This window comes from Homo sapiens, unplaced genomic scaffold (genome assembly GCF_000001405.40).
Source record: "Homo sapiens unplaced genomic scaffold, GRCh38.p14 Primary Assembly HSCHRUN_RANDOM_124".
Taxonomy (NCBI): domain Eukaryota; kingdom Metazoa; phylum Chordata; class Mammalia; order Primates; family Hominidae; genus Homo; species Homo sapiens.
The window spans coordinates 228,077-255,591 of record NT_187420.1 but is presented as its reverse complement, the minus strand read 5'-3'; the positions used below and the strand labels follow the sequence as shown (position 1 = coordinate 255,591).

The 27,515-nt window shown below is 47.8% G+C and overlaps 1 long non-coding RNA gene and 1 pseudogene across 1 annotated transcript; both read right to left on the bottom strand.

Annotated features, from left to right (window-relative positions):
- Positions 1-5,985: 5,985 nt before the first annotated feature.
- On the bottom strand, positions 5,986-10,273 carry LOC102724902 (uncharacterized). Its single transcript, XR_430602.5, has 3 exons — positions 10,161-10,273; positions 7,884-7,885; positions 5,986-5,998 (listed from the first exon to the last, which is right to left on the bottom strand). It is a non-coding gene; the product is annotated as an uncharacterized LOC102724902 (long non-coding RNA).
- Positions 10,274-12,322: 2,049 nt separating this feature from the next.
- Positions 12,323-27,515, bottom strand: part of LOC101930589 (cell division cycle protein 27 homolog) — a 19,199-nt pseudogene continuing 4,006 nt past the window's right edge.

The window sequence follows — 27,515 nt, the reverse complement described above, 5'->3', positions numbered from 1 at the left end:
GATAATATCCTGCTGATTGTTTTCCAACATGGTTCCATTCTCCCCGTCACTTTCAGGTACACCAATTAGACATAGATTTGGTCTTTTCACATAGTCCCATATTTCTTGGAAGCTTTGTTTGTTTCTTTTTATTCTTTTTTCCCTAAACTTCTCTTCATGCTTCATTTCATTCATTTCATCTTTCTTCGCTGATACCCTTTCTTCCAGTTGATCGTATCGGCTCCTGAGGCTTGTGCATTCATCACATATTTCTTGTGTCATGGTTTTCAGCTCCATCAGGTCCTTTAAGGACTCCTCTGCATTGGTTATTCTAGTAAGCCATTCATCTAATTTTTTTCAAAGTTTTTAACTTCTTTGCCATTCGTTTGAACTTCCTCCTTTAGCTCAGAGTAGTTTGATCTTCTGAAGCCTTCCTCTCTCAACTCATCAAAGTCATTCTCCATCAAGATTTGTTCCGTTGCTGGTGAGGAGCTGCATTCCTTTGGAGGAGGAGAGATGCTATGATGTTTAGAGTTTCCAGTTTTTCTGCTCTGTTTTTTTTCCCATCTTTGTGGTTTTATCTACCTTTGGTCTTTGATGATGGTGATGTACAGGTGGGTTTTTGGCATGGATGTCCTTTCTGTTTGTTAGTTTTCCTTCTAACAGTCAGGACCGTCAGCTGCAAGTCTGTTGGACTTTACTGGAGGTCCACTCCAGACCCTGTTTACCTGGGTATCAGTAGCAGTGGCTGCAGAACAGCAGATATTGGTGAACTGCAAATGCTGCTGCCTGATGGTTCCTCTGGAAGTTTTGTCTCAGAGGTGTACCCGGCCATGTGATGTGTCAGTCCACCCCTACTGGGGGGTGCCTCCCAGTTAGGCTACTCGGGGGTCAGGGACCCACTTGAGGATGCAGTCTGCCCATTCTCAGATCTCAAGCTGTGTGCTCGGAGAACCACTACTCTCTTCAAAGCTGTGGGACAGGGACATTTATGTCTGCAGAGGATATTGCTGTCTTTTGTTTGTCTGTGCCCTGCCCACAGAGGTGGAGCCTACAGAGGCAGGCAGGCCTCCTTGAGCTGTGGTGGCTCCACCTAGTTCGAGCTTCCCGGCTGCTTTGTTTACCTACTCAAGCCTGAGCAATGGTGGACGCCCCTCCCCCAGCCACACTGCCACCTTGCAGTTTGATCTCAGACTGCTGTGCTAGCAATGAGCAAGGCTCCATGGGCATAGGACCCTCCGAGCCATGTGCAGGATATAATATCCTGGTGTGCTGTTTGTGAAGCTGGTTGTACAAGTTCAGTATTAGGGTGAGAGTGACCCGATTTTCCAGGTGCCATCTGTCACCCCTTTCTTTGACTAGGAAAGGGAATTCCCTGACCCCTTGTTCTTCCCAGATGAGACGATGCCTCACCCTGCTTTGGCTCATGCACAGTGCACTGTACCCACTGTCCTGCACCCACTGACCGGCACTCGCCAGTTACATTAGCCTGGTACCTTAGTTGGAAATGCAGAAATCACCCATCTTCTGCATCACTCACGCTGGGAGCTGTAGATGGGAGCTGTTCCTCTTCGGCCCTCTTGGCTCCACTGACCAAGACTAAATATTTTTTACAAACATATTCAAATGGCCAACAGGTGTGTAGAAAGATGCTAAACATTACCATTCATGAGAAAATTGCAAATCAAAGGATACCAGTTTACAGCAGTTGGAATGGCTAATATCAAAAAAAGAAACATGACAAGTGTTAACAAGGATGTTACCAAATATTTCTGTACATTCTTAATGAGTTGCAAACTGGAAGAGTCATTATGAAAATTAGTATGCAGGTTATTTTAAAAAATAGAACTATCGTACAATCCCGAAATTCCACTTCTGTCTATAAACAAAATAAAATCAGCATCTCAAAAATTATCTGCACCCTTGTATTCAATGCAGTATTATTCACAACTGTCAAGGGTATTTTTTTTTTAAATGACTTATCTGTAGATGCTGAATGGATAAGGAAAATGTGGTATAAATAGACAACTGAATATTATTCACCCATAAAAAAGAATGAAATTCTGCTATTTCAACAACATGAATGGACCTGGGTACATTATGCTATGCAAAATAAGCCAGGCACAGAAGGACAAACACTGTACGTTCTCACTTAAATGGAGAATTTAAAAAGCCTGAACTCATAGAAGCAGAGAGTACAATGGTAATGACCAGGCCTGGAGGTAGAAAAAATGATGAGGTGTTCAGAGTACAAACTTTCAGTTATAAGATAAATAAGTTTTGGGGGTCTAATGTATAGCTTTAAGATGTAGTTAATAACAGTGTTTTGTATGCTTAAAATTTGCTGCAACAGTAGGAGACCTCAAATGCTCTCACTACAAAAAACATAACCATGTAAGGTGACATAAATATTCATCAACTTAATTGTATTAAACATTTTACAATATATATACCTATCAAACTTTTATAATATACACAATACATAATTATGCAATTTTTATTGGTCAAAAAATTAATGTTATGTACACATGCATATATTCACATAAGTGTGTATATACACATATATAAAACATATATGTATATATCAATTACATATGTATATACTTGTGTGTGTGTATATGTGTATATATATATATATACATATCAATGACAAAATCCTAGTAAGCTTCAAACTAAACAAGAGAAAACTATAAAATGATAACTATTTAAAAATCAAGAAAAAAATGGTTATTTAATATGTGCTCAGCAATATTCTCAGTTCCTCAGTGGCAAAGTACATGTTTTAAATGTAGAAAGTAGATACATTAAACCATATTACAGTTTAGGAATTATGGCACAGAGTGTTTACAGTATTAGCCTCAATACATACCAAAAACTTAAAATTTTGAAGTAAAATAACATTTGGTTTTATTATATGGGGCAGAGGCTTATTGTTCTGATTAAATTATTGAGTATGAATTTCTGTAGAATCACATTTGAAACCTTCACAGGATATGAAATTATAAAGCAGAAAACATACGACATCTGGATGTGGTGTTTCTGGGATTTCTAAACCAAATCCCAATATCTCCACTACTCTCACACATTTTAGACAAGACTCAAAATGGAAATTAGAAAATGTTTAACATAGAGTTCGTTAAAAATCACAGACGGCCCCATGTCCTCAAAAGCAATAAAAGAGCAAGAGCCAGGTCCTCCAGTCCCTTGTAAGCCATGCAAAGGGCTTTGATTTTCTTTGTAACCTAGAAGAATGATCGTTGAAGGGGAAGTTAAGTCCTAGAAAATTGAAGAGCATGGGGCAGAAGATATTTGTCTCTAATGAAAGCAAGAGAAAGAAATCAGGGCTTCTCAGAAAAGATTTCCATTGGAGCATAGCTTCGCAAACCACACTTTAAGATCTGGCTTTTTCCTTGACCTTTGGTCATCTCATCTGTGTCATCTGCCTTATTCACTCCCACCTATTTGGATGTTTGGCTACTATCTTCTGTCTCCTCACACTCTGGGGCTTTTTCTTTTACTCAATGTAGGTGATCAGGTTTAGCTTAGAGAACAGCCAAGGACTCTGTATTAGAAAAAGTAATATGACTTATGCTGTGATTTTCCAGTTACTACTTAGTACTGTGCTCGGTGGAAAAAAACAGAACATTATAAAAGAGTCTAACAATGTAATACCAAATACTATTTCCTCACAGAAATGTTATGATATTTAAAAACTTTTCTAAATTTGTGGGTCCTTAGCTCCATGACCCAGTGCTGCTGAATGAAAACTTCGTGGTGGTTGGCTGGGCCTGGTGACTCACACCGCTGATCACAGCACTTTGAGAGGCCAAGACAGGCAAATAACTTGAGCCCAGGAGTTTGAGGCCAGCCTTGGAAACATCGCGAGACCTAGTCTACGGGTTGAGGGTGGGGAGGAGGGGGAAAGGTGGTGGTAATGGGAGGTGGTAATGCGATTATAAGGTGTGGGCAACCATATTTTGTGCCTCTAAATTTGTGGAGTTACCACTAATCTAAAATTAAGGATACAGATCAGCTGAAGAAAGAAAAAGATTTATGTCGAGATGAAACCTCCTCGTGGGGGTCTGCAGCTGCAATACCGCCAGCTGGCAGCATCCCACCTCTTTCGCCTGGCTGCAGCCCCACCAGGAGCCCGGCTCCAGCCGGGGCACTGCAGCATGTACTAGACCTGGAAGGCGCAGGCGCGGGTTTCCTGCCCTCCGGGGTGTCTTCCTGCTCCCAGGACCCCAGGCAACTCAATTCATTCATCAAGCGCCCCCGCAACCATCCAAGTTGGGGCAGCAGGTCCCACAGTTGCCAGCCAAGACCTCCGCTCCAGAACCCGTGGGCTGCTTTCCCCGGGGGAAGGACATTGTCTTCGCCAGCCACGAAGAAATCCGTCCCTGTGCACCCTGTTTCCCATTGCCACCAACTTCGTGTAAACTTTAGTCCCGAGGACACGAGAGAGACCCAGACCTGGCCCCGTGGACAAGCTCGGTGCCACGGCTTCCACCAGATGGGCGGGTGCACTCTACAAATCTCGGGGCCCACCGCACCAGGGAGACAAGAAGAAGCAAACACAGGAAGGACCCTATGAAACGCACCCCCAAAGAAACCAACCAATCCAAGAAAAAAAAAAAAAAACACTTCTCAGGGCTCAGTTGGTTTTCCCGCGTGGGCGGCCCTGACCCCCTGTTCTAGCCTGGCCCAAACACCCTCCACCTCACCCTGGCCTGCTCAAAGCGCCCTGTCTACCTGAGCAGAGCCTCCCTCTCCAAGGCTTTGTCTCTCTCACTCTACAACTCCCTCACCCTCTCCCTTTCTCTACTTCCCCCTCCAACCCTCGCTCTTCTGTCACCTTCTGTCTCTCTCCCCATCCACTTTTCTCTCTCTCCCCCCATTTGTATCTCTCCATCCCGGTCTCCCTAGCTCTCTTTCAAGCTGTGTCTGTGTCTTGGTCTGTATGTCCTTGTGTGTGTGTCCATGTGTGTCCGTGTGCATGTTTCCGTGTGTGTGTCTTTGTGTGTCTGTGTGTGTGTGTCTGTGTGTGTGTCCATGTGTGCCTGTGTGCATGCACTAGTGTGTATCTGTGTGTGTGCCGTGCTGGGTTTGCTCGTGGTAGTGGTGGGGTGTGTCTGGGTGTCCGTCAGCCCCTGTTTCCCGGGATCAGGCTGCCGAGGCTCTAGTGCCAGCGCGGGGCAAAGCAGGGCCTTCCTGTCCCGTTGGCCACGGGCGGGTCCTCGTCGGGACAAGCGACGATGGGGAGCTCGCAAGCCGGGGGAAAGGCCTGGAGTGTCAGCAAAAGGGAGGCGGCCTGGTGGGCCTGTAGCCTGGGCAGGGGACTGAGGCATCACGGTCTGATGACGGATTCCTGTTTCCTGCAACATGGGGAGTCTCCAAAATGGCCTGTTTGGAAACGAAAGGAGAGCAAAGACACGATGCTGCTTTTCCACGCTTTGCTGGGGGTTTCTGTGTCCCTACAGAGCTCGGGAAACAAACAGTCAACATGGTCACGCTTTCGGGGGCCAGAGACACGTGAGCAGCAGGCCCACTTGCAGAGGGCAAAGGAACGTGGAATCCGAAATCATGGTTCACTCGGCTTGAGTGTGACTCCTGTGTGGATGGGAGTATCTGCCTCGCGCTCTGTTGCAGGCTCAGCGTGGGGATATGTCATCTGTGAACCATGTGGATGAAAAACGGACAACCATTCGAGTCTCGGCTCTGTTCTTTGGGGAATTCGCTCATTCCTTGGGAGGCGGAATTCCTCTGAATCGCTCCCGGATGAAGTAACCCAGGCTGGCGATCCAGAGGGCCGGTGAGCACACCGCTGGCCGAGGCGGCTGTGGGCTGAGCACTCAGCCTGCACTGGGCACCCAACATTTTCCCGGAGTTCGAGGTCCTGCTGGGCCTGGAGGCAGAAGACCGCTTTTCTCTTTGCCTTCCCTTCTCTGTTTCTTGCTCCTTTTCTCCCTCTGTCCATCCTTCCCTCTGTTCTTCCTTCTCTCCCTCTCTCCCTCCCTGTCTCCCTCCCTCCCTCTGTTCTTCTCTCCTTCCCTCTCTCCCACCATCCATACCTCCCTTTCTCCCTCTTTCCCTCCCTCCCTTCCTCTCTTTTTCTTTCCCTCCCTCCCTCCATCCCTTCCAAGGTCCGTCCTTTCATCTGTCTTTTCCTCCCTCTGTCCCTCTCTCTCACTTTGTCTCCGTTCCTTTCCCCATCTCTGCCTGGCTTCCCTCCCACCTAGAAAGGGAAGAACCACGGTTTGCGTGAGATCTCGGGGTCTACATTTAGTTCCCGGGCGCTTCACGTGATGCCGAGGAGGATGGCGGGGCACGGGTGGGCGACGGTGGGTGGAGCGGGGAGGTAGTGGAGTTGAGCTGCGGAAAGGAGAGCAGGCCTGGCCGCTGCCCGGGTCGGTATTTCCCGGGGTGGAGGACTCCACCTACACCACTGAAGAACGCGGGGTAGGGGGGGGTGTACTGTGTGGGGGTGCGGGGGAAGGGATGAGAGCCCTGCCTGGGCTGGCCCCAAACCCTAGCCGGCTGCCCGCGAACCCGCACATGCGCAGTAGACGGCCCATCTCTGAGTACCTGGGCTGGCTCTGAAATCCTTGGGATGCTCAGGAAAGAATGACAGCCCTCCTTTCTGTGGAGTCTCTCACTGGACTTGGACTCAGGGATCCTAGACAGGTCAGCTGGAAGGGAAGACACAGGTCTCCATACCGAGCCAGAGGTTCACCGCGAAAGAGGAGCCACCGACCTGCCCCCACCCGGTCCCAACCCCGCGTCCTAAAGCTCCTCCAACTGAGCCGAGTGTTATTCCTGGCTGAGGAGTGGTTCCAGAAAAGCAGGCTCTTCCAAGTCCTTCAAATCCCTCAGCGGCTTCATTGCTAGGAAAGGTTGTGTCCTTTGCTGAAATTCTGGGGTAGACAGGAGCTCATATAACAGGGTGGATGCGAGTACAGATGAAGACTCCAGCTCCTGGAGCGGTTGGGAGGGTGCCTGGATGGCTTACATCTGCTTCTGACACGTAGAGGCCTCCATGGGCACGAGCTGCGGAGGTACATGTGCCTCGGCTTCGCGTTCCCACGTGCCCTGGCGACCTGTGGACCCTGGCCCCAGCCCCAATATGGACTCATGTGGGACGTGTGCGGCGCAAGCACACCTTGCCCCTGTGACTCAGCCTGAGCGGCCTAAGCTGTCCCATTGAGCACGCACTCAGAAAGCCACCGTACTACGGGTCCTGGTCCTGCTGCCATCTGTTCGGATGCGGAGGTCACCCAGGTGTCTGAGGGTGGGACAGCTCCACTTCCGAAGGAGCCAGGGCAGCAAACCCAAAATCCCCGTGTGCCGCGGTAGGTTGGGAGATTCCTTCTGCCTGCGAAGCCTGGCTGGGGTGCAGCAGAGGGGCGACCCTTGCTGTCTGGCTCACAAAAGCCCCCTGTTCCCCACGCCCTGGCATGGGTGAAGGCGACCAAGGAGGGAGGGTGGCACCCGCTGTGGGCCGCGTTGCACAGGCCGCCTGCTTGCGCGGGTTCCCTGCTACCCTGGCCTGGATGCCTGGACCTTCGATTCTGACACGAAATCTGAATCCTGGACTCCAATAGGCGGGTCTCTCTGGCCAGTTCGGGTACGGGTTCCGCTCAAAGCACGCTGGCAGGGCATCTTTTTCGTTCGGGTTACAAACCAGTCTCCTTCGCCGTCCTCGTCTTCGGGCTTTCGCGGGGAAGGGGCTGTCAGAAGGTGTCGGGAGAGCCATTGCGAGGGCACCTGGCCGGAATTTCACGGACAGACACGGGCAGAGAGAGGCCGGCGGCTCCCGTGGGCCTCAGTTGGCCTCTGTGCTGCAGGCAGGTCCAGGCAGGAGTCCGACCCCGCCAGTGGCCCTTATAAAGACCCACCAGCTTCACGCCTTCATGAATATGCATGAACACCCAAGGGCCCTGGGTAACCTGCCCTCCGAAGGGCCCAGAAACCACAGACACAGGGCCTTGTGTGGTAGGTGAAGGTGGGGCCAGATCAGCTGGGAAAGGGGGGCTTCTGGGACTGGCTGTCTGAGTTCTCCAGAATTCTACAGAAACTGGAAGTTTCTCTCTGGGTTCACACACGATTTCAGGGAGAAACCACCCTGGAAGGGTGGAGTGTGGAACTGAACCTCCATGATAGTCTTGATTTTCCAGGCCCTCTCCGTGAAGCCGGCAATGCCTGTGGGTGTCACCATTGCCGTGATAGTCACACACGCAGGTGTGTGGATCTCATTCATTTTTTTATTTTCATTTTTTATTTCTACCTCTTAAAGTCAATGATAAAGTCATGAGTGTAAAATGAATGCATTTAAAAACATAAAAGATACATTTCAATGACAAGAAATATGCAATGATCATGAAAATCTACTTTACACTTTGCCAAGGTCAAAGAATGAAAGACAATATGGAAAAGCCAATCTTCAAATATATCCTTAACAAAAACTCTCTCCTACATAGTAAAAGCATCATCTAAACAGCAGCTCCAACCGAGAAAAAAAAAACAACAAAAAACAAAACAAAACAAAAAAACAGCAGGGTAGATGGGACAGATAACTTTCCCCAGGTTTTCCAGATAAAAACATGTGGTCACCAGGAATTCAAGGTAACTTCAAAAGCCACATTTAATTCAAAATAAAATGAACACTTCTGACAGATGACAGCAGTATGATACTGACTTTTTTCTTTCCTAGATACAAATGATATGGGGCATTTCTTAACAGTTTAGTAATCGTCTAAGAATAACTGTAGAAATAACCCCAATTCCACCATCTCAGCCACTGGTATAAAACAAATAACCTTCCATTGATACTGTCTTTCACATAACTACAATATCCTCACTTACTTGGAGCAATTTCATGCTTACACATGATCACAAACACTTGTTTTTAGATGTTGTGGAATTATTGGAGCTGAGATTTTTTAAACAATATCTGAATCTTAGCAGAGAGCAAATAATCATTTCACTATACATTGATTGGGCTTCCTTAACCAAATCTCAGCAACTACTATAATAATAATGCTGGTGGTAATCCATGATACTCTCAAATTTTTCCCTTTAAGAAATATATAATCCATGTAACTCTAGCAAATATGTTACATTGCACACTTTCTTAACAAGGAATGGCTGTTTTCAGGTCTTAGTAGGAAAACAAAGAAACAAACAATGGCAGTTACTATCTGTTTTTTATCACTGATAAGCTACAATAAAGCTCAAATATGACAGTTTAATTGTGTGATATTAAGTAAAAAATGAAAACTATTATAGTTTTACCAAAAGAAACACAAAAAATATGGGAAGAAGTCAAATGAGCATGACATAAGTCCCAAAGATTACACTATGATTCTGAACAGGATTTTCCAAACAAAGGGTATCTACATACAATTTCTGTGGATATTTCTTGTAGTAGAAAGATCCAAAGCAAATGTAGGCTCAGCCCTACCTTGTCAAAGATAAATATTCAGATAAACTAGAAGTTCCATCTGCTAAAGTGCATCCGCTGACCAGATCTACCATGGCGCTGCTACTTACAGCCATCTAAGAAAGTGGCCTCACTCATGCTCATTCACTCGTTCTGTGGCCTATCAAGAGTCACACATAACAATGGTTTTGCTTTTCTTTAAAAAAAAACAAATACTTTATACAGTGAACTACAGAAAAAACAATTCTAAATATACTTTTAAAATTCTAGAGAGTTAAGGTAACCTCATTTTTTAAAATACTGAAAATGTAAAGGGTCCATATAAAGAGTTGTATTAAGTACATACTTCCTATTTTAATAATTCACTTGCTGTGCTCTTAAAATCTCTATGAGAGAAGCAGATATTTTACTCGTGTCTTTTGGCAAGAGATTCAAAAGCAAAAGTAGCAGGGCTGTAAAATTTCATAAAATTTGTGGGATTTTAAAAAGCTAAATTACTCAATATTTTGTATTGTTATTGCACTCATATATTGCCCGGAATATATATACAGCAACCCAGCAACAGTGATTGCAACAAAAGTAAGGTAAATAGGTCTACAAAGCATTTGATTTCCTTATTAGATAAGTGAAGTTTTCATAGAGGAAGTGCAAATTCAGATCAGGTTACATAAGCTTAACAATTATTCAAACCTTATATAAAATTAAATCTAACCCTCACCACTACAAATCTGTAAGGAATCACTGTCAGGAATCTACAGGACTTGGCTCATATTTACATTCGACACACACTTAGAAATTTCATAAATGATGAGATGCAGGCCAAGGGGATTCCTCAAAGGGCTCCACCCAAAAGGAAAAGAAAGAGAATTAAACAGAGAATTACCACTTACGTATTTGTGGATAATCAGCTTATTCCTCAGCCTCTAGACAGGGAGGAGGATGAAAAAATGGAAGAAAATAATAAAGAAGAGGAAGAAAAATATCACAGTGAAGCGATGAAGCCAGAGAAGCCACCTCAAAATTTACTGAGAGAAAAAATCATGAAGCTGCCCCTCCCTGAATCTTTAAAAGCTTACTTGACATATTTTAGAGACAAATAACTTAGATCAAGAAGAAAGAATGCCTACTGATAATTCCTTTAGTCTTGAAAATGTAGCATTTGTTAGGAATTAAAAGAATTATTTATTTCATCAGAGCAAATTATAGTGGAAAAAATATCACTTGTTACTGTCAGTAACATAAATGATGTATGAGTGAATAAAAGAATCCCTTTTATAAAATCTATTTTTCTTTAAATCTTGGAAAATTGTTGTTTCACCTCAGAGTGATTTCAAAGTGGAATGTAACAGTAGTCAAGACTTGTGTGCTATAAATCCTTTTCTGATTCCTTACGGATCTTGTTCATTTTCATGTAGAAAACGAGAGCGAAACTACAGAGAAAAGAAAGGCCCGGTGCATCAGGGCCTGAAGAGGGATTCCTGTTTCCTGCAACATGGGGAGTCTCCACTATGGCCTGTTTCCAAACAGGGAAGAAAGGAGAGCGAAGACACGATGCTGTTTTTCCACGGTTCTCTGGAGGTTTCTGTGTCCCCAGAGAGCTCGGGAAACAAACAGTCAACATGGTCACGCTTTCGGGGGCCAGAGATGCATGAGCAACAGGTCCCCTTGCAGAAGGCAAAGGAACGTGGAACCCGAAACCACGCTTCAGTCGGCCTGAGTGTGACTCCTGTGTGGACGAGACTATCCACCTAGCTCTCCGTTGCAGGCTCAACGTGGGGCTATCTCATCTGTGAACCATGTGGATGAAAAATGGACAATCACCCGAGTCTCGGCTCATTGCTCTCTGGGCAATTCCCTCATTCCTTGGGAGACGAAATTCGGCTGAATCGCTCTCGGATGAAGTAACCCAGGCCGGCGATCCAGAGGGCCGGTGAGAGCCCCGCAGGCCGACGCGGCTGTGGGCCGAGCACTTAGCCTGCATTGTGCACCCAACATTTTCCCGGAGTGCAAGATCCTGGTGGTCCTGGAGGCAGAAGACTGCTTTTCTCTCTGCCTTCCTCTCTCTGTTTATTGCTCCCTCCCTCCCTCTTTCCCCCGTCCCTCCCGCAGTTCCTCCCCCCCCATTCCCTCCCTCCCTCCCTCCTTCCCTCTCTCCTTCCTTCTATCCCTCCATCCTTTCCAAGGTCCCTCGGTCCATCCGTTCTTTCCTCCCTCCATCGCTCCCTCCCTCTCTGTCTCCGTTCCTCTCCCCATCTCTGCCTGAGTTCCCTCCCGCGTAGAAAGGGCAGCACCCCGGTTTGCGCGGGGTCTCGGGTCTGCATTTAGCTATCAGGCGCTCCACGGTGATGCCGAGGAAGCTGGCGGGGCAAGGGTAGGCGAGTGACGGTGTGGTGGGGATGCAGGTTGGCGAGACGCGGAAAGAAGAGCAGACCTGGCACCTGCCCGGGCCAGTGTTTCCCGGGATGGAGGTCTCCGCCCGTCCCACTGAAGAAGGCGGTGGGGGGCAAGAGGGAAGTGATGAGAACTCCACCTAGGCTAGTTAGAAAACCTAGGCTACTGCCTGCTAACCCGCGCATGAGCAGTAGACAGTCCGCCTCCCGGTACCTGGAGGGGCCCTGGGATCCCCGGGATGCTCAGAAAAGAATGACAGCCCTCCTCTGAGTGGAGTCTCTCACGGGACCTGGAACTCAGGGATCCTAGGCAGGTCAGCTGGAAGGGAAGACACGCCTCTCCATACCAAGTCAGAGGTTCACTGTGAAAGAGAGGCCGCCGCCCTGCCCCTACCCAGCCCCAACCCCGCGTCCTAAAGCTCCTCCAGCACAGCCCGCTGTTCTTCCTGGCTGAGGAGTGCTTCCAGCGGAGCGGGCTCTTCCACGTCCTTCAGCTCCCCCAGTGGCGCCGGATCTAGGAAAAGTTGTGCCTTTTGCTGGAACTCTCGGGTTTACTGGCTGGGGGTTTACTGGCTGGGGGTGAGTGTAGATGAGCGCCCTGGCTCATGGAGCGGTTGGGAGGCGCCTGGATGGCTTGCATATGTGCTTGACCCGGAGGCCTCTGAGGTCGCGAGCTTCGGAAGTGGAGGTGCCCCGTCTTCGGTTTCCCACGCCGCCCTGGCGACCTGGGGCTCCAGCCCCACCACGGACTCTGGTGGGATGTGGGTGGCGCAAACATACTTTGCCCCTGTGACTCAGCTTGAGGGTACCCAAGCTGTCCCACTGAGCATGCACCCAGCAGGCCGCCGTGCTGCGGGTCCTGGTCCTCCTGGCATTTTCGGGGTGCGGAGGCCACCGAGGAGTCTGAGGGTGGGACAGTCCTACTTCTAGAGGGGCCAGGGCAGCAAACACAAAATCCCCGCGTGCCGGGGCACGTTGAGAGATTCCTTCTGCCTGTGCAGCCTGGCTAGGCTGGAGCGGTGGGACGGCCCTTGCTCCCTGGCTCACGAAAGCCCCCTGTGGGAGAGCCCCAGGCGTGCAGGGTGTGTGGGGTGCGGCAAGCCCCGTTCCCCATGCCCCGGTGTGGGTGAACTCGATTGAGGAGGGAGGAGGATGACACCCGCCGGGGGTGTTAATTAGTAAGCACAGTGGCCTCAAAGAGCTCAAATGAAAGGAAGAATTGCACGTCTCTCACTTGAAGTCCAGAGCTAGAAATGATTAAGCTTAGTGAAGATGTAAAATTTTCATTGCTAGAGAGATGTCCACACTTGGCTTCAAAACTTCAAAGGATGGGCTGACTCTCTTTGAGGACCACTGCTGTTGGTGACTTTAAGTTACAGCCAGTGCTCATTGACCACTCTGAAAATCTCAGGGCCGTTAGGAATTATGCAAAATCTATTCTTTCTGTGCTCTAGAAATGGAACATTACAGTCTGAGTGACAACACATCTGTTAAGAGCATGGTTTACTGAATATTTTAATCCCACTATTGAGACCTACTGCTCAGAAAAAAAAAAAAAAAAAAAAAAAAAAAAAAAAAAAAACATTCCTTTAAAGGGATTGCTGCTTGGCCAGGCACAATGGCTCACACCTGTAATCCCTGCACTTTGGGAGGCCGAGGTGGGTGGATCACCTGAGGTCAGGAGTTCAAGACCAGCCTGGTGAAAATGATGAAACGCTGTCTCTAATAAAAATACAAAAAAATTAACCAGGCATAGTGGTGGTATCTGTAATTTCAGCTACTTGGGAGGCTGACACAGAAGAACGGCTTGAACCCTGGAAGCGGAGGTTGCGGTGAGCCGAGACCATGCTACTGCCCTCCAGCCTGGGCAACAAGAGGGAAACTACATAAAGGCCAAAAAAAAAAAAAAAAGGAAAGAAAAGAAAAAAAGAAAAATATTGCTGCTTATTGACAATTCACCTAGCTACCCAAAAGCTTAGATGGAGATGTACTTGGAAATTAATATTATTTTCATGGCTGCTAATACAATATCTATCCTTCAGCCTGTGGATCAAGGAGTGGTTTTGACTTTCAAGTGTTTTTATTAAATAATAAATGCATTTTGTAAAGGTATAGCTGTCATAGATAGTAATTTCTTTGATGAATATGGATAAACTGAATTGAAAACCTTTTGGAAAGGTTTCACCATTAATCCTTTCATGATATTTCAACCTCTTCCCGTGAATCATAAATGTTCTTAATAGCAAATGCCATTAAGGACATTTGTGATTGATGGGAGGAGGTTGAAATATCAACATTAACAGGAGTTCGGAAGAAGTTGATTCCAGCCCTCATGGAAGACTTTGAAGGCTCAGGATGTCAGTGGAGGAAGTCCCTACAGATGTGGTAGAAATCGCAAGACAACCAGAATTAGAATTAGGGCCTTTAGATGAGATTAAATTGCTGTAAACTCATGATGAAACTTGAGCATCTGGGGAGTTGCTTCTTATGGATGAGCAAAGAAAATATTTTCTTGAGATGGAATCTACTCCAGGTGGAGATGCTACGAACATTGTTGAAATAACAACAAAGTGTTTAGAATATTCCATAAACCTAGTTGATAAAGCAGCAGCAGGGTTTGAGAGGGTTTACTCCAATTTTGAAAGAAGTTCTACTGTGAATAAAATGCTATCAAACAGCATCACATGCTACAGGGAAATATTTTGTGAAAGGAACAAACTTCGTTGTTTTAAGAAATTGACACAAGCACCCAACCTTCAGCAGCCCCCACACTGATCAGTCAGCAGCCATCAACATAGAGGCAAGACCCTCACTGTAAGAGAAAAGAAAGAGAGATCAGACTATTACTGTGTCTATACAGAAAGGAAAGACGTAAGAGGCTCCATTTTGAAAAAGACTTGTACTTTAAACAATTGCTTTGCTGAGATGTTGTTAATTTGTAGCTTTGCCCCAGCCACTTTGCCCCAGCCACTTTGACTCAACCTGGAGCTCACAAAAACATGTGTTGTATGAAATCAAGGTTTAAGGGATCTAGGGCTGTGCAGGATGTGCCTTGTTAACAAAATATTTACAAGCAGTATACTTGGTAAAAGTCATCGCCATTCTCTAGTCTCAATAAACGAGGGGCACAATGCACTGCAGAAAGCCGCAGGGACCTCTGCTCTTGAAAGCGGGATATTGTCCAAGGTTTCTCCCCATGTGATAGTCTGAAATATGGCCTCATGGGATGAGAAAGACCTGACTGTCCCCCAGCCCGACACCCGGTAAGGGTCTGTGCTGAGGTGGATTAGTAAAAGAGGAAAGCCTCTTGCAGTTGAGATAGAGGAAGGCCACTGTCTCCTGGCTGTCCCTGGGAACTGAATGTCTCAGTATAAAACCTGATTGTACATTTGTTCAATTCTGAGATAAGAGAAAAACCGCCCTATGGTGGGAGGCGAGACATGTTTGCAGTAATGCTGCTTTGTTATTCTTTACTCCACTGAGATGTTTGGGTGGAGAGAAACATAAATCTGGCTTATGTGCACGTCCACTCATAGTACCTTCCCTTGAACTTAATTATGACATAGATTTTTTTGCTCACATGTTTTTTGCTGACCTTCTCCTTATTATCACACTACTCTCCTACTACATTCCTTTTTGCTGAAATAATGAAAATAATAAGCAATAAAAACTGAGGGAACTCAGAGGCCGGTGCCTGTGCAGGTCATTGGTATGCTGAGCGCCGGTCCCCTGGGCCTACTGTTGTTTCTTTATACTTTGTCTCTGTGTCTTACTTCTTTTCTCAGTCTCTTGTCCCACCTGACTAGAAATACCCACAAGTCTGGAGGGGTGAGCCACCACTTCACTCACCAGCAAAAAGATTATGACTTGGTAAGGCTCAGATATTCATTAGTATTTTTCAGCAATGAGGTATTTTAAGTTAAGGTATGTACATAGTTTTGTAGACATAATGCAATTACTAATTAATTAATTAATTAATAATTATTAAATACTCATTAGACTACAACATAGTTTAAGCATAACTTTTATAAGCACTGGGAAACAAAGTGTTTATGCGACTAACTTGTTTGTAACATTTACCTTCTTGTGGTTGTCTGGAACCAAACCCACACTATCTCTGAGTATGCTTGTAGGTTTTTCATTGTTCTTTGTTTTGAGATAGAATTTCGCTCTGTCACCCAGTCCAGAGTGCAGTGACATGATTATAGCTCACTGCAGCCTCAAACTGCTGGGTCAAGTGATTGTTCTACCACAGCTTCCTTAGTAGCTGGGACTACAGGCATGCAGCACTATGTCTGGCTTTTTTTTTTTTTTTTTTTTTTTTTTTTTTTGAGACGGAGTCTCGCTCTTTCACCCAGGCCAGAGTGCAGTGGTGCTATCTCGGCTCACTGCAAGCTCCGCCTCCCTGGTTCATGCCATTCTCCTGCCTCAGCTTCCCGAGTAGCTGGGGCTACAGGCGCCCAAACCAGGCCTGGCTAATTTTTTTGTATTTTTAGTAGAGACGGGGTTTCACCGTGTTAGCCAGGATGGTCTCGATCTCCTGACCTCGTGATCCGCCCGCCTCGGCCTCCTAAAGTGCTGGGATGACAGGCGTGAGCCACCTCACTCGGCCTGCCTTTTCTTTCTAGTGGCACAAGCCCCATGGAGTGTGGTGCGTCTGATCTCCGATGCTTTTGAACAGTGTAGAAAGTATTGCTGTCTGAATTTAATTTTTTACTACATGTATGGTCTCGATCGACCACAAGAAGATCAATAAGCCCTTCTCCTTATTCTACTTCCCTTTCTAGCAATGGAGAACTTTGATTGGATTTTTCCTGCCTACAGACAGGAATGAGTCTGCTGTTTTCTTTTTTAAACCCGAGGGGACTGGGCCTGAGGGCCTTGAGCGCGGCCACCCTCCCCCAACCCCCAACTGGTGATTGTGGTGGTGGTGGTTTTGTGTTCCAGCTTCTGTTCTGTTGTTGTTGTTGCTGCTGGTGGTGCTGTCGTCATTGTTTTGGTATTTTACAGACTCAGGGGGTGTACGTGCTTGTTTGTTAGAAAGGCCTACTGCTGCCTCCAGTTGTAGAAGTGGACCTCCAGTGTATCCGATACCCAAGTGGCGAACATTGTCTCTGACGGGCGATTTATTCATCCCTCGTCCCCCTCTTACCCTCCTCCTCCCTTTTGGAGTGTCTGCTATTTCCATCTTGATGACCGTGTGCGTACCCACTGTTTACCTCCCACTTGTAAGCAGAAGACAGTTCACTGGGTACATACTTGCTTCCAGCTCTATCCATATTGTGGGAAAAGACGTGAAATCGCTCTTTTTTGTGCCTGCACCATTGGAGAATTTTAACTTTCTTGGTGGTTGTTTTCCTTTTTCCTTTTCTTTTCTTTTCTTTTTTTTTTATTTCTTTTCTTTTCTTTCTTCCTCCTCCTCCTCCTTCTTTTTTTCATTGTTTTCAGCTGGGCTCTCCTACTTGTGTTGCTCAGTTGCTCGGGCTTGTCTCAAACTCCTGGCCTTGACACTTCTCCCGTCACATCCACCGTCTAGTTGTTGAAATGAGCATCTCTTTTAAAATTGAAAAGATGAAAAAAATAAAGAGAAAGACAAAAAGCATGGGGTGAACGTTTCTCTTGCCGCCTCCCAGGGTGTACCTTGGACCCCATAGGAGGGAGGGAGCTTGACTGGGTGGGTTTTTGGTGCTAAATCCTCCCGAGGGCCTCCTTCCCTCTTCCCCTTGTCCCTGCTTCTCCCCCAGCCAAGGCTCCCACCACCGCGATGGGATTTTCCATGGGAGAGGTATGGGAGAGGACAGACGTGGCTTCCAGATCTATATCCTGCCAGACGTCTCTGGCTCAGCATCCCCCACCAGCTGCCTGCCACCTTCCAGGGAGCTCTGAGGCCGATGCCCCTCCCCCCTTCACATCCCGCCGCCCTCCTCCAGCTGGCCTTTGCCCGGCGACCCCAAGGGAAGGACGTTGATGCTGCTTTGGAATCCTGCAACGAAGACTTCCACCAGATGCCCCGGGTGGGCCGGATGGGATGGACTGGATCACCCCGGACCGTGCTGTTCTTGGGGGTGGGTTGACGTACAGGGTGGACTGGCAGCCCCATCATTGTAAAGGGTGCGCAGGTATGGAAATGTCACATAGGATGCCCTCCTTTCCCTCAGCCTGCCTTCAGCTTCCTCAGGCATGAAGACAACTTCCCATCAGAACCTCTTTTCTTCCCTTTCTCCACCACACAGACGAGACCCATGAGAGGGAGAAACAGCTCAATAGATACTGCTGACCTTCATTTGTGGAATCCTCAGTCATCTACAGACAGAGAGGTGACTAGACAGGGACCCAAATCAAACACCATTTCGGGGTCCTCATGGTGGGATTGCTCTTTCTCTCTCTCTCTCTCTCACACACACACACACACACACACACACACACAATTTCCACATCTAGTTCACAAACCACACTAATTTACACTTTTCACATTATGCAGTCTGAGTAAAACCCACCCCACCCTCCACCCAGCTGCTGACGAAACCCCTTCTCTACAACTTATTAAAAAGATTATCTGGACCGGGCACAGTGGCTCACGCCTGTCAATCCAGCACTTTGGGAGGCCAAGGCGGGTGGGTCACTTGAGGCCAGGAGTTCAAGACCAGACTGGCCAACATGGCGAAACCCCATTTCTATGAAAAATAGAACAATTATCCAGGCCTGGTGGCATAGGTTTGTAATCACAACTACTCAGAAGACAGAGGCGGGTGAGTTGCTTGAACCAGGGAGGCCGAGGTTGCAGTGAGCTGAGATCGTGCCATGGCAATTATTGAGATAAAGTGAGACTCTGTCTCAATAATAATCATAATATTGTTATAAGATGAGTTGTGCGTGCTGATACCCGACTGTAGTCGCAGCTACTCGGGAGGCTGAGACAAGGAGAAGATCACTTGAGGCCCCACAGGTCGAGGCTTCAGTCAGCTGTATCCTGGGTAGTCACTAGTCAAAGAGATATGCCCCTCCCCGTTTTCTTTTCTTTTCTTTTCTTCTTTTCTTTTCTCTCTTCTTTTTTCTTCTCTCTTCTTCCTTCCTTTCTTTCTTCTTTCTTTCTCTTGCTCTCTCTCTTTCTTTCTCTCTTTCTTTCTCTTCTTTCTTTCTTTCTTTCCCTTTCTTTCTTTCTCTTTCTTTCTTTCTTTCTTTCTTTCTTTCTTTCTTTCTTTTCTTTCCTGCCTGACTGACTTCCTGCCTTTCTTATTTTCTCCCTTCATCTCTTCCTCCCTTCCTTCTTTCCTCCCGCCTCGGCCTCCCAAAGTGCTGGGATTACTGGCCTGAGGCACCATGCCTGCTTGGCCTAAAGAGAGACCCTTTGAAAGTAAGACACAGACAGCGCCTTCTAGTGATCTGATTGATTGATTGACTGATTTAGAGACAGCGTCTCGCTCTGTCACCCTGGCAGTGGTGCCATGATAACTCACTCACTGCAGCGTGGAAGCTCCTGGATTCAAGTGATCCTTCCACCTCAGCCTCCAGAGTAGAGTACCTGGGACCACAGGCATGCGCCACTGTGCCCAGATCATTTTTATTTATTTATTTATTTTTTTTCCCGAGACAGAGTTTCGTTCTTGTTGCCCAGACTGGCGTGCAATGGTGTGATCTTGTCCACTGCAGCCTCTGCCTCCCGGGTTCAAGCGATTCTCCTGCGTCAGCCTCCAGAGTAGCTGGGATTGCAGGCATGCGCCAACACGTCTGGCTGATTTTGTATTGTTAGTAGAGATGGGGCTTCTCCATGTTGGTCAGGCTGGTCTCGAACTCCCGACCTCAGGTGATCTGCCCTCCTCGGCCTCCCAAAGTGCCGGGATGGCAGACGTGAGCCACTGCTCCTGGCCTTCATTTTTAAATGTTTTTCCACAGACAGGGTCTCATCATTTTGTTGCAACCCTCCTGACCCAGCGTCTCAAAGTGCTGGCGTGACAGGCGTGAGCCACTGTGCCTGGACTCCGGGGAATGATTCACGACCATGATCGCTGTACTAATTCTTTCTTTCTTCTTTCTTTCTTTCTTTCATTGATGAATTTTTTTATTATTGATTGATTGATTGATTGATTTTGAGACGGAGTCTCGCTCTGGTTGAGGCGAGGCGAGGCGAGGCGAGGCGAGGCCAGGTGCATCGCTTTGGAAGACGCAGCACCGCCTTCTAAAGCCCCATTCAAATGCACAACCCAGAGGCTGGCTGCGGCTGAGGATTAGGGGGTGTGGGTGGGGCTGGAAACTCGGTCCCCTATTGTTGAAAGCTCAGCCAAGACATCCCCCGACCCCCATCGCTTGATCACCCTTTGAGATCCCCTGACTCCACCGCCTTGGAGGCTGACCTCTTACTTTAATTTGTCTTTCTTCCTTTCCTGCGTTTGAGGAGGGGATGCAGGAATGAGGGTGTGTATGGGGAGGTGGTGTGGGGTGGGGACGGAGGGGAGCGTCCTAAGGGCCGATTTAGTGTCATGCCTCTTTCACTGCCACCGCCGAAGATGAAAGCAACAATCAGCTAAATACCGCGTGTTCTCATCCATAAGTGGGAACTTATAGATGACAGTTCTGCATGGGCAGAACGAGGAGGACCAGAGAAGCGGGAGCCTACTTGAGGGAGGAGGGGTGGAAGGAAAGACAGCTTCAGGAAAAAACAAAACATGAAAACTGTCGAGTACTGCGCTGAGTATCTGGCTGATGAAATCATCTGCACACTGAACACCCCCCCGTCAGAAGTTTACCTATGTAACAATCTTACACATTTATGTTTGAACAAGAAATGAAAGTTAGGGGAGAAAGAGAGAGAGAGGGAGAGAGAGAGAGAGGGAGAGAGGGAAAGAGAGAGAGAGAGAGAGAGAAGTGAAACGAAACAGCACCTCCTGTACCTGAGTCAGGGGGTTTCCGGCCTTTTGGGGGAACATTCAGCGACAATGCAGTATTTGGGCCTGTTCTTTTTTTTTTCTTCTTTTCTTTTTTTTTGGACTGAGTCTCTCTCGCTCTGTCACCCAGCCTGCATTGAAGTGGCGCTCTCTCGGCTCACTGAAACCTCTTCTTCCCGGGTTCCAGTGATTCTTCTTCGGTAGCTGGGATTACAGGCGCGCACCACGACAGCCGGCTAATTTTTCTATTTTTAGTAGAGACGGGGTTGCTCCATGTTGGCCACGTTGGTATTGAACTCCTGACCTCAAGTGATCCACCTTCCTGGGCCTCCCAAAGTTCTGGGACGACAGGCCTGAGCCGCCGGGATTTCAGTCTTTAAAAGCAGGAGCCATGACACTTTTCGCTGCGGCCCTTACACTCAGAATGACGTGTCGTCTCTGCCATAGGTTAACTCCTTGGGTCCCCTACGCCATTGTACTCTAGCCTGGGCAGCAAGAGCAAAACTCCGTCCCCCCACCTTCCCGTGCAAATAAATAAATAAATAAATAAACAAACAAACAAATAAATAAAATCTCTACACATGACCTATAAGTGTGCATTCCCATGAGTGATTTCTAAGAAATGGCACTGTACACTGAACGCAGTGGCCCACGTCTGTCATCCCAGCACTTTGGGAGGCCAAGGTGGGTGGTTCACGAGGTCAGGAATTCAAGACCAGCCTAGCCAACATGGTGAAACCCCTTCTCTACTGAAAATACGAAACTGAGTCAGGCGCAGTGGGGCAGGCACGTGTAATCCCAGCTACTCGGGAGGTTGAGGCGGGAGAATCGCTTGAACCTCGCAGGTGGAGGTTTCAGTGACCCAGGATGTTGCCACTGCACTACAGCCTTGGCGACAGAGTGAGACTTGGTCTCCAAATAAATAAATAAATAAATAAATGAAAGAAAGAAAAGAAAAGAAAAGAAAAGAAAAGAAAAGAAAAGAAAAGAAGAGAAAAGAAAACCAGAAAAGAAAGAAAATGAAAGAAAAGTCACTGTATCGCTACTGGGCTAGGACCTTCCCTCTTTCTCTCTGTTTCTCTTTGTCTCTCTCTGTCCATCTCTGTCTTTCTCTATCTGTCTCTTTGTCTGTCTGTCTGTCTCTTTCTTTCTCTCTGTCTCTGTCTCTCTCTCTCTGTCTGTCTCACAGTGTCTGTCTTCTCTCTTTCTCTGCCTGTCTGTCTCTCTCTCTCTCCCTCCCTTTCTGTTTCTGTCTCTCTCTGTGTCTCTCTCTTTCTGTCTGTTTCTCTCTGTCTCTCTCCGTCTCTGTTTTTCTCTGTCTCTCTGTCTGTCTCTGTATTTCTTTTTCTGAGTCTCTCTGTCTATCTCTCTCACTCTCTCTCTCTGTCTCTCTCTCTGTGCCTATCTTCTGTCTTATTCTCTTTCTCTACCTATCTGTCTCTCTCTCTGTCTGTCCCTCTCCCTCCCTTTCTGTCTCTCTCTCTCTCATTCTCTCTCTGTCTCTCTCTCTTTCTGTCTATTTCTCTCTGTATCTCTCTCTCCATCTCTGTCTCTTTCTCTCTGTCTCTGTCCGTCTCTCTCTGCCTGTCTCTCTCACTGTGTCTGTCTTCTGCCTTATTCTCTTCCTCTGCCTGTCTCTCTCTCCCTCCCTACCTTTCTGTTTCTCTCTCTCTCTGTCTCTCTCTCTGTCTGTTTCTCTCTGTCTGTCTCTGTCTGTCTCTTCCTCTGTCTGTCTCTCTCTTTCTTTTTTTTTTTTTTCAAGACGGAGTCTGTGTCGCCCAGGCTGGAGTGCAGTGGCGCCATCTTGGCTCACTGCAAGCTTCTCCACCCAGGTTCACGCCATTCTCCTGCCTCAGCCTCCCGAGTAGCTGGGACTATACGCGCCCGCCACCAAGCCCGGCTAATTTTTTGTATTTTTAGTACAGACGGGATTTCACCGTGTTAGCCAGGATGGTCTCGATCTCCTGACCTTGTGATCCGCCCGCCTTGGCCTCCCAAAGTGCTGGGATGACAGGAGTGAGCCACCGCGCCTGGACTGTCTCTCTCTTTCTTTCTCTCTCTCTCTTTCTCTGCCTCTCTGTCGGTTTCTCTCTCTGTCTGTCTCTGTCTCTCCGTGTCTGTTTCTCTCCCTCTGTCTCTTTCGCTCTCTCTCTCTCTGTCTCTCTCTCTTGCTGTTTCTGTCTGTCTCTGTCTGTCTCTTTCTCTGTCTGTCTCTCTCTTTCTTTCTCTCTGTCTCTGTCTCCCTCTGCCTGTGTCTCTCACTGTGTCTGTCTTCTGTCTTACTCTCCTTCTCTGCCTGTCTGTTTGTCTCTCTCTCCCCCTCTCTTTGTTTCTCTCTCCCTCTCTATCTCTCACTCTCTCCATCTATCTCTCTGTCTGTTTCTCTCTGTCTGTCTCCGTCTTTCTCTGTCTCTCTGTCTTTCTGTCTCTCTGTCACTCTCCCTCCCTGTCTGTCTGTTTCTCTCTCTTTCTCTGTCTCTGTCTCTCTCTTTCTCTTTCTCTCTGTCCATCTCTGTCTCTCTTCCTCTGTCTCTCTTTCTCTGCTTGTCTCTCTCACTGTGTCTGTCTTCTGTCTTACTCTCTTTATCTGCCTGTCTGTCTGTCTGTCTCTCTCCCTCCCTTTCTCTCTCTCTCTCCATCTCTCTCTCTTTCTGTTTCTCTGTGTCTCTCTCTGTCTGTCTCTGTGTGTCTGTCTGTTCTCTCTCTTTCTCTGTCTCTCTCTTTCTGTTTGTTTCTATCTGTCTCTCTCTCTCTCTGTCTCTCTCCCTCCCTGTCTGTCTGTTTCTCTCTGTCTCTCTCTGTCCATCTCTGTCTTTCTATGTCTGTCTCTCTGTCAGTCTGTCAGAGCCCCTTTGCCGGGGAGGGCCCTGCCCCTTCCACGAAAGTGAGAAGCGCCTGCTTAGAGAGGCCGAGAGGTATCTAGACAGACGGTCCTTGCTAGGCTTCGCCACTCGGTGTATGATTTCGAGGGGTCGAGGCCGGGTCCCCACTTGGATGGAAGGGGCATTTTCAAACGTTTCTCCCTGTCATGTGTGGCGTCCCTACTTCTCGTATTTCCCTGATAAGCTCCTCGACTTAAAAATACATGGTTGAGGCCGGGCGCGGTGGCTCACGTCTGTCAGCCCAGCAGTTTGGGAGGCAGAGACGGGTGGATCACCTGAGGTTGGGAGTTCGAGACCAGCCTTGCCAACAGGGCGAAACCCCGTCTCTACTAAAAATACTAAATTGAGTCAGGTGCGGTGGGGCAGGTGCCTGTAATGCCAGCTACTCGGGAGGCTGAGGCAGGAGAATCGCTTGAACCTGGGAGGCGGAGCATGCAGGGAGCCGAGATCGCGCCACTACACTACAGCCCGGGCTGTAGATTGAGACTGTGTCTCTAAATAAATAAATAAATAAATGCATTCTTTTCCCTGCTGACTGACACTTGCAGGCATCGGTTGTCTTTGGGCATCACCTAGCGGCCACTGTTATTGAAAGTCGAGGTGACATGGAGAGAGGTCTGGCCGACTTCACCGAGCCTGGGGCAAACGGTTTCTCTCTCTCCCTTCTGGAGACCCCTCCCTCTCTCCCTCGTTGCCTAGGGAACCTCCGCCCTGGCGGGGGCCCTATTGTTCTTTGATCAGCGCTTTAGTTTTCTTTCTGTTTTGGTTTCTTTCATGCGCATAGACTCTTCTACTTGGGTTTTAGGAGGGGTCAGTTTAAATTTCAAGTCCCGCCCCGGCTCCCCCCACTACCCACGTCCCTTTATCTTCATTTAGTGAGACAGTTAGGTGGGTTCCTCCCAAATCCCCCAACCCCGCCTGCCAACACCCTGCTTGGAAACCTTCCGGAGCCACCCCGGTGTGCCTCCGTCTTCTCTCCCCTTCCCCCACCGCTTGCCGGCTATCTCATTCTTGCCAGGCTGACATTTGCATCGGTGGGCTTCAGGCCTCACTCAGTGGCCACCATTTTTGAAGATGGGGGTGGCCCGGTCCTACTTCCCCAGAGGCAGCTTGGGCCGATGGCATAGCCCTTGACCCGCGTGGGCAAGCGGGCGGGCCTGCAGTTGTGGGGTTTTTGCCCCGCTTCCCTCCTCAGGCCTCCCTCCCTAGGAAAGCTTCACCCCGGCTGGGTCTCTATCACCTTTTATCATGATGTTTTAGTTTCTCCGCCCTCAGTCCAGCATAGTTTCACAGTGGGAATGACGTCACAGCTCTAGTCTGGGCCTTCTTAGTATTAGCCCAAAATAGAAATGCTTTCTGAAAACTAATACTTTGCTCACTTAAGATTTCCAGGGACAGTGCCTTGGCCTGTGTTTGTTGGCTTGTTTTGTTTTGTTCGTGTTTTTCCTTTTTCTTATGTATTTCTTTTTAGATGAAGTAGAAATCCCCAGTTTTCAGGAAGACGTATATTTTCCCCAAGACATGTTAGCTGCGGTTTTCTCCTGTTGTTAACTAACGATTTTGTGAATCTCTGAACGTATAGTGAGAGCCGGTTGATGTTTACTAGACTTCAGAACATCTTATGTTCTAGAAATCCGTAAGCGATTGCTGCTGCTGCTCTTGCTGCTGCTGCTGCTCTTGCTGCTGTTGTAGTTGTTTTCAAAGCACACCCCGGCCACCGTTTATGGGATCAAAAGCGTTATAAAATATGTGTAATTATTTCCTGAGCATGCCCTTCCTCCTCCTCTCTCTGTCTCTCTCTCTCTCTTTATCTGTCTTCTATCTTTCTCTGTCTCTCTCTCTTTGCCTATTTCTCTCTCTCTCTCTGCCTGTCTCTCTCACTGTGTCTGTCTTCTCTCTTACTCCCTTTCTCTGTCTGTCTGTCTCTCTCTCTCTCCCTGTCTGTCTGTCTGTTTCTCTCTGTCTCTGTCTCTTTCTCTGTCTCTCTCTCTTTCTGTTTCTCTCTGTCCATCTCTGTCTTTCTCTGTCTCTCTGTCTGTCTCTTTCTTTCTCTGTCTCTCTGTCTCTGTGTGTCTCTCTCTCTGCCTGTCTCTCTCACTGTGTCTGTCTTCTGTCTTACTCTTTTTCTGCCGGTCTGTCTCTCTCTCTCTTTCTCTCTCTCTCTGTCTCTCTCTATTTGTTTCTCTCTGTCTCTCTCTGTCCATCTCTGTCTTTCTCTGTCTGTCTCTTTGTCTGTCTGTCTGTATCTCTCTTTCTCTGTCTCGCTGTCTCTGTCTCTCTCTCTGCCTGTCTGTCTGTAGGTCTCTCTCTCTCTCCCTGTCTGTCTGTTTTTTTCTCTCTCTCTCTTTGCCTGTCTGTTTCTCTGTCTCTGTCTCTCTGTCTGTCTCTCTCCGCCTGTCTCTCTCTGTGTCTGTCTTCTGTCTTACTGTCTTTCTCTGCCTGTCTGTCTGTCTGTCTCTCTCTCTCCTTGCCTGTTTCTCTCTCTCTCTGTCTCTGTTTCTCTCTGTCTCCCTCTGTCTGTCTCTGTCTTTCTCTCTCTGTCTCTTTCTCTCTGTCTGTCTCTCTCTTTCTTTCTCTCTGTCTGTCCATCTGTCTCTGTCTCTGTGTGTGTGTGTGTTTCTGCCTTCTGTCTTACTCTCTTTCTCTGACTGTCTACCTGCCTGTCTGTCTGTCTCTCTCTGTATGTCTCTCTCTCTTTCTGTCTCTGTCTCTTTCTGTTTCTTTCTGTCTCTGTCCATCTCTGTCTTTCTCTGTCTGTGTCTTTATCTGTCTGTCTCTCTCTTTCTGTCTTTCTCTCTTTATGTATCTTTGTGTCTCTCTGTCTGTCTCTCTCTGTCTCTGTCTTTGTCTCTGTATCTCTCTCTCTCGCCCGCTCTCTGGCTCTCGCTATCTCCCGCCCTCTCTTTCTTTGCAAAATAAGTTCAAGTACATCTAATCTAATCCATTACCACGACCTGAATTCTTAACATGAGACATCCCAGATTTGATCTCCCTACAGAATGCTGTACAGAACTGGCGAGTTGATTTCTGGACTTGGATACCTCATAGATACTACATATTAATAAAGATCCAACCATAAAATCTGGGGTTGCGTCTCCCTCGACTGTCTCAAAAAATCATACCTCTGTTCACCTAGGATGCTGGGAGGGTTTTCTTAATGTGCATCTGCTCGTGTTCTACATGAACTGTGACCGAGCCCTGTCTGTTCTGTCTCAAATATGTATCTTCAAACACGTCTCTCCATTTCCACAACTACCCATGGCCCCTTGTGGAACCACTGGCTCTTTGAAAAAAAAATCCCAGAAGTGGCTTTGACTTTTTGGCTAGGAGGCGTAAACCTGCTGAGAACTTTCCTGCCCAGGATTCTGTGTGAACAAAAGTGCCTCTGCTGGGAGCTGGGATCCTCAGGACCATGCTTGCTATCGTTGGATGAGTCTCTGGAAGGACACATGGGACTCCGCAAAGCTGACCTGTCCCACCGAGGTCAAATGGATACCTCTGCATTGGCCCGAGGCCTCCAATTTACATCGCCGTCACCAACCGTCACCATCAGCATCCTTGTGAGCCTGCCCAAGGCCCCGACTCCGGGGAGACTCTTGGGAGCCTGGCCTTCGTAGGCTAAAGTAGAAAGGGATTGTGACTTCCACCCACAAGGTCCCCACTGAACTGTGAAGATGTGGAGCGTAGGTCAGAGAGGGGACCAGGAGGTAAGATGTCCTGACAGGCGATGAGTTAACTAGGCTCTGGCCACCCCACTCACGTCCCACGTCCCGGGAACCCGCGGAACACTGCCGCTTTATCCCCTCCTCTGTCCACAGCCGTCCCCACCCCAGCCCGCAACCCACGCATACACACTGGAGGTTACAAAACCACAGGGCGTGAATAGAGCCTGATGGAGCAAGAGCTCATTTCATGAGGCGGGATGGGTGGGGTGGGGTGGGGG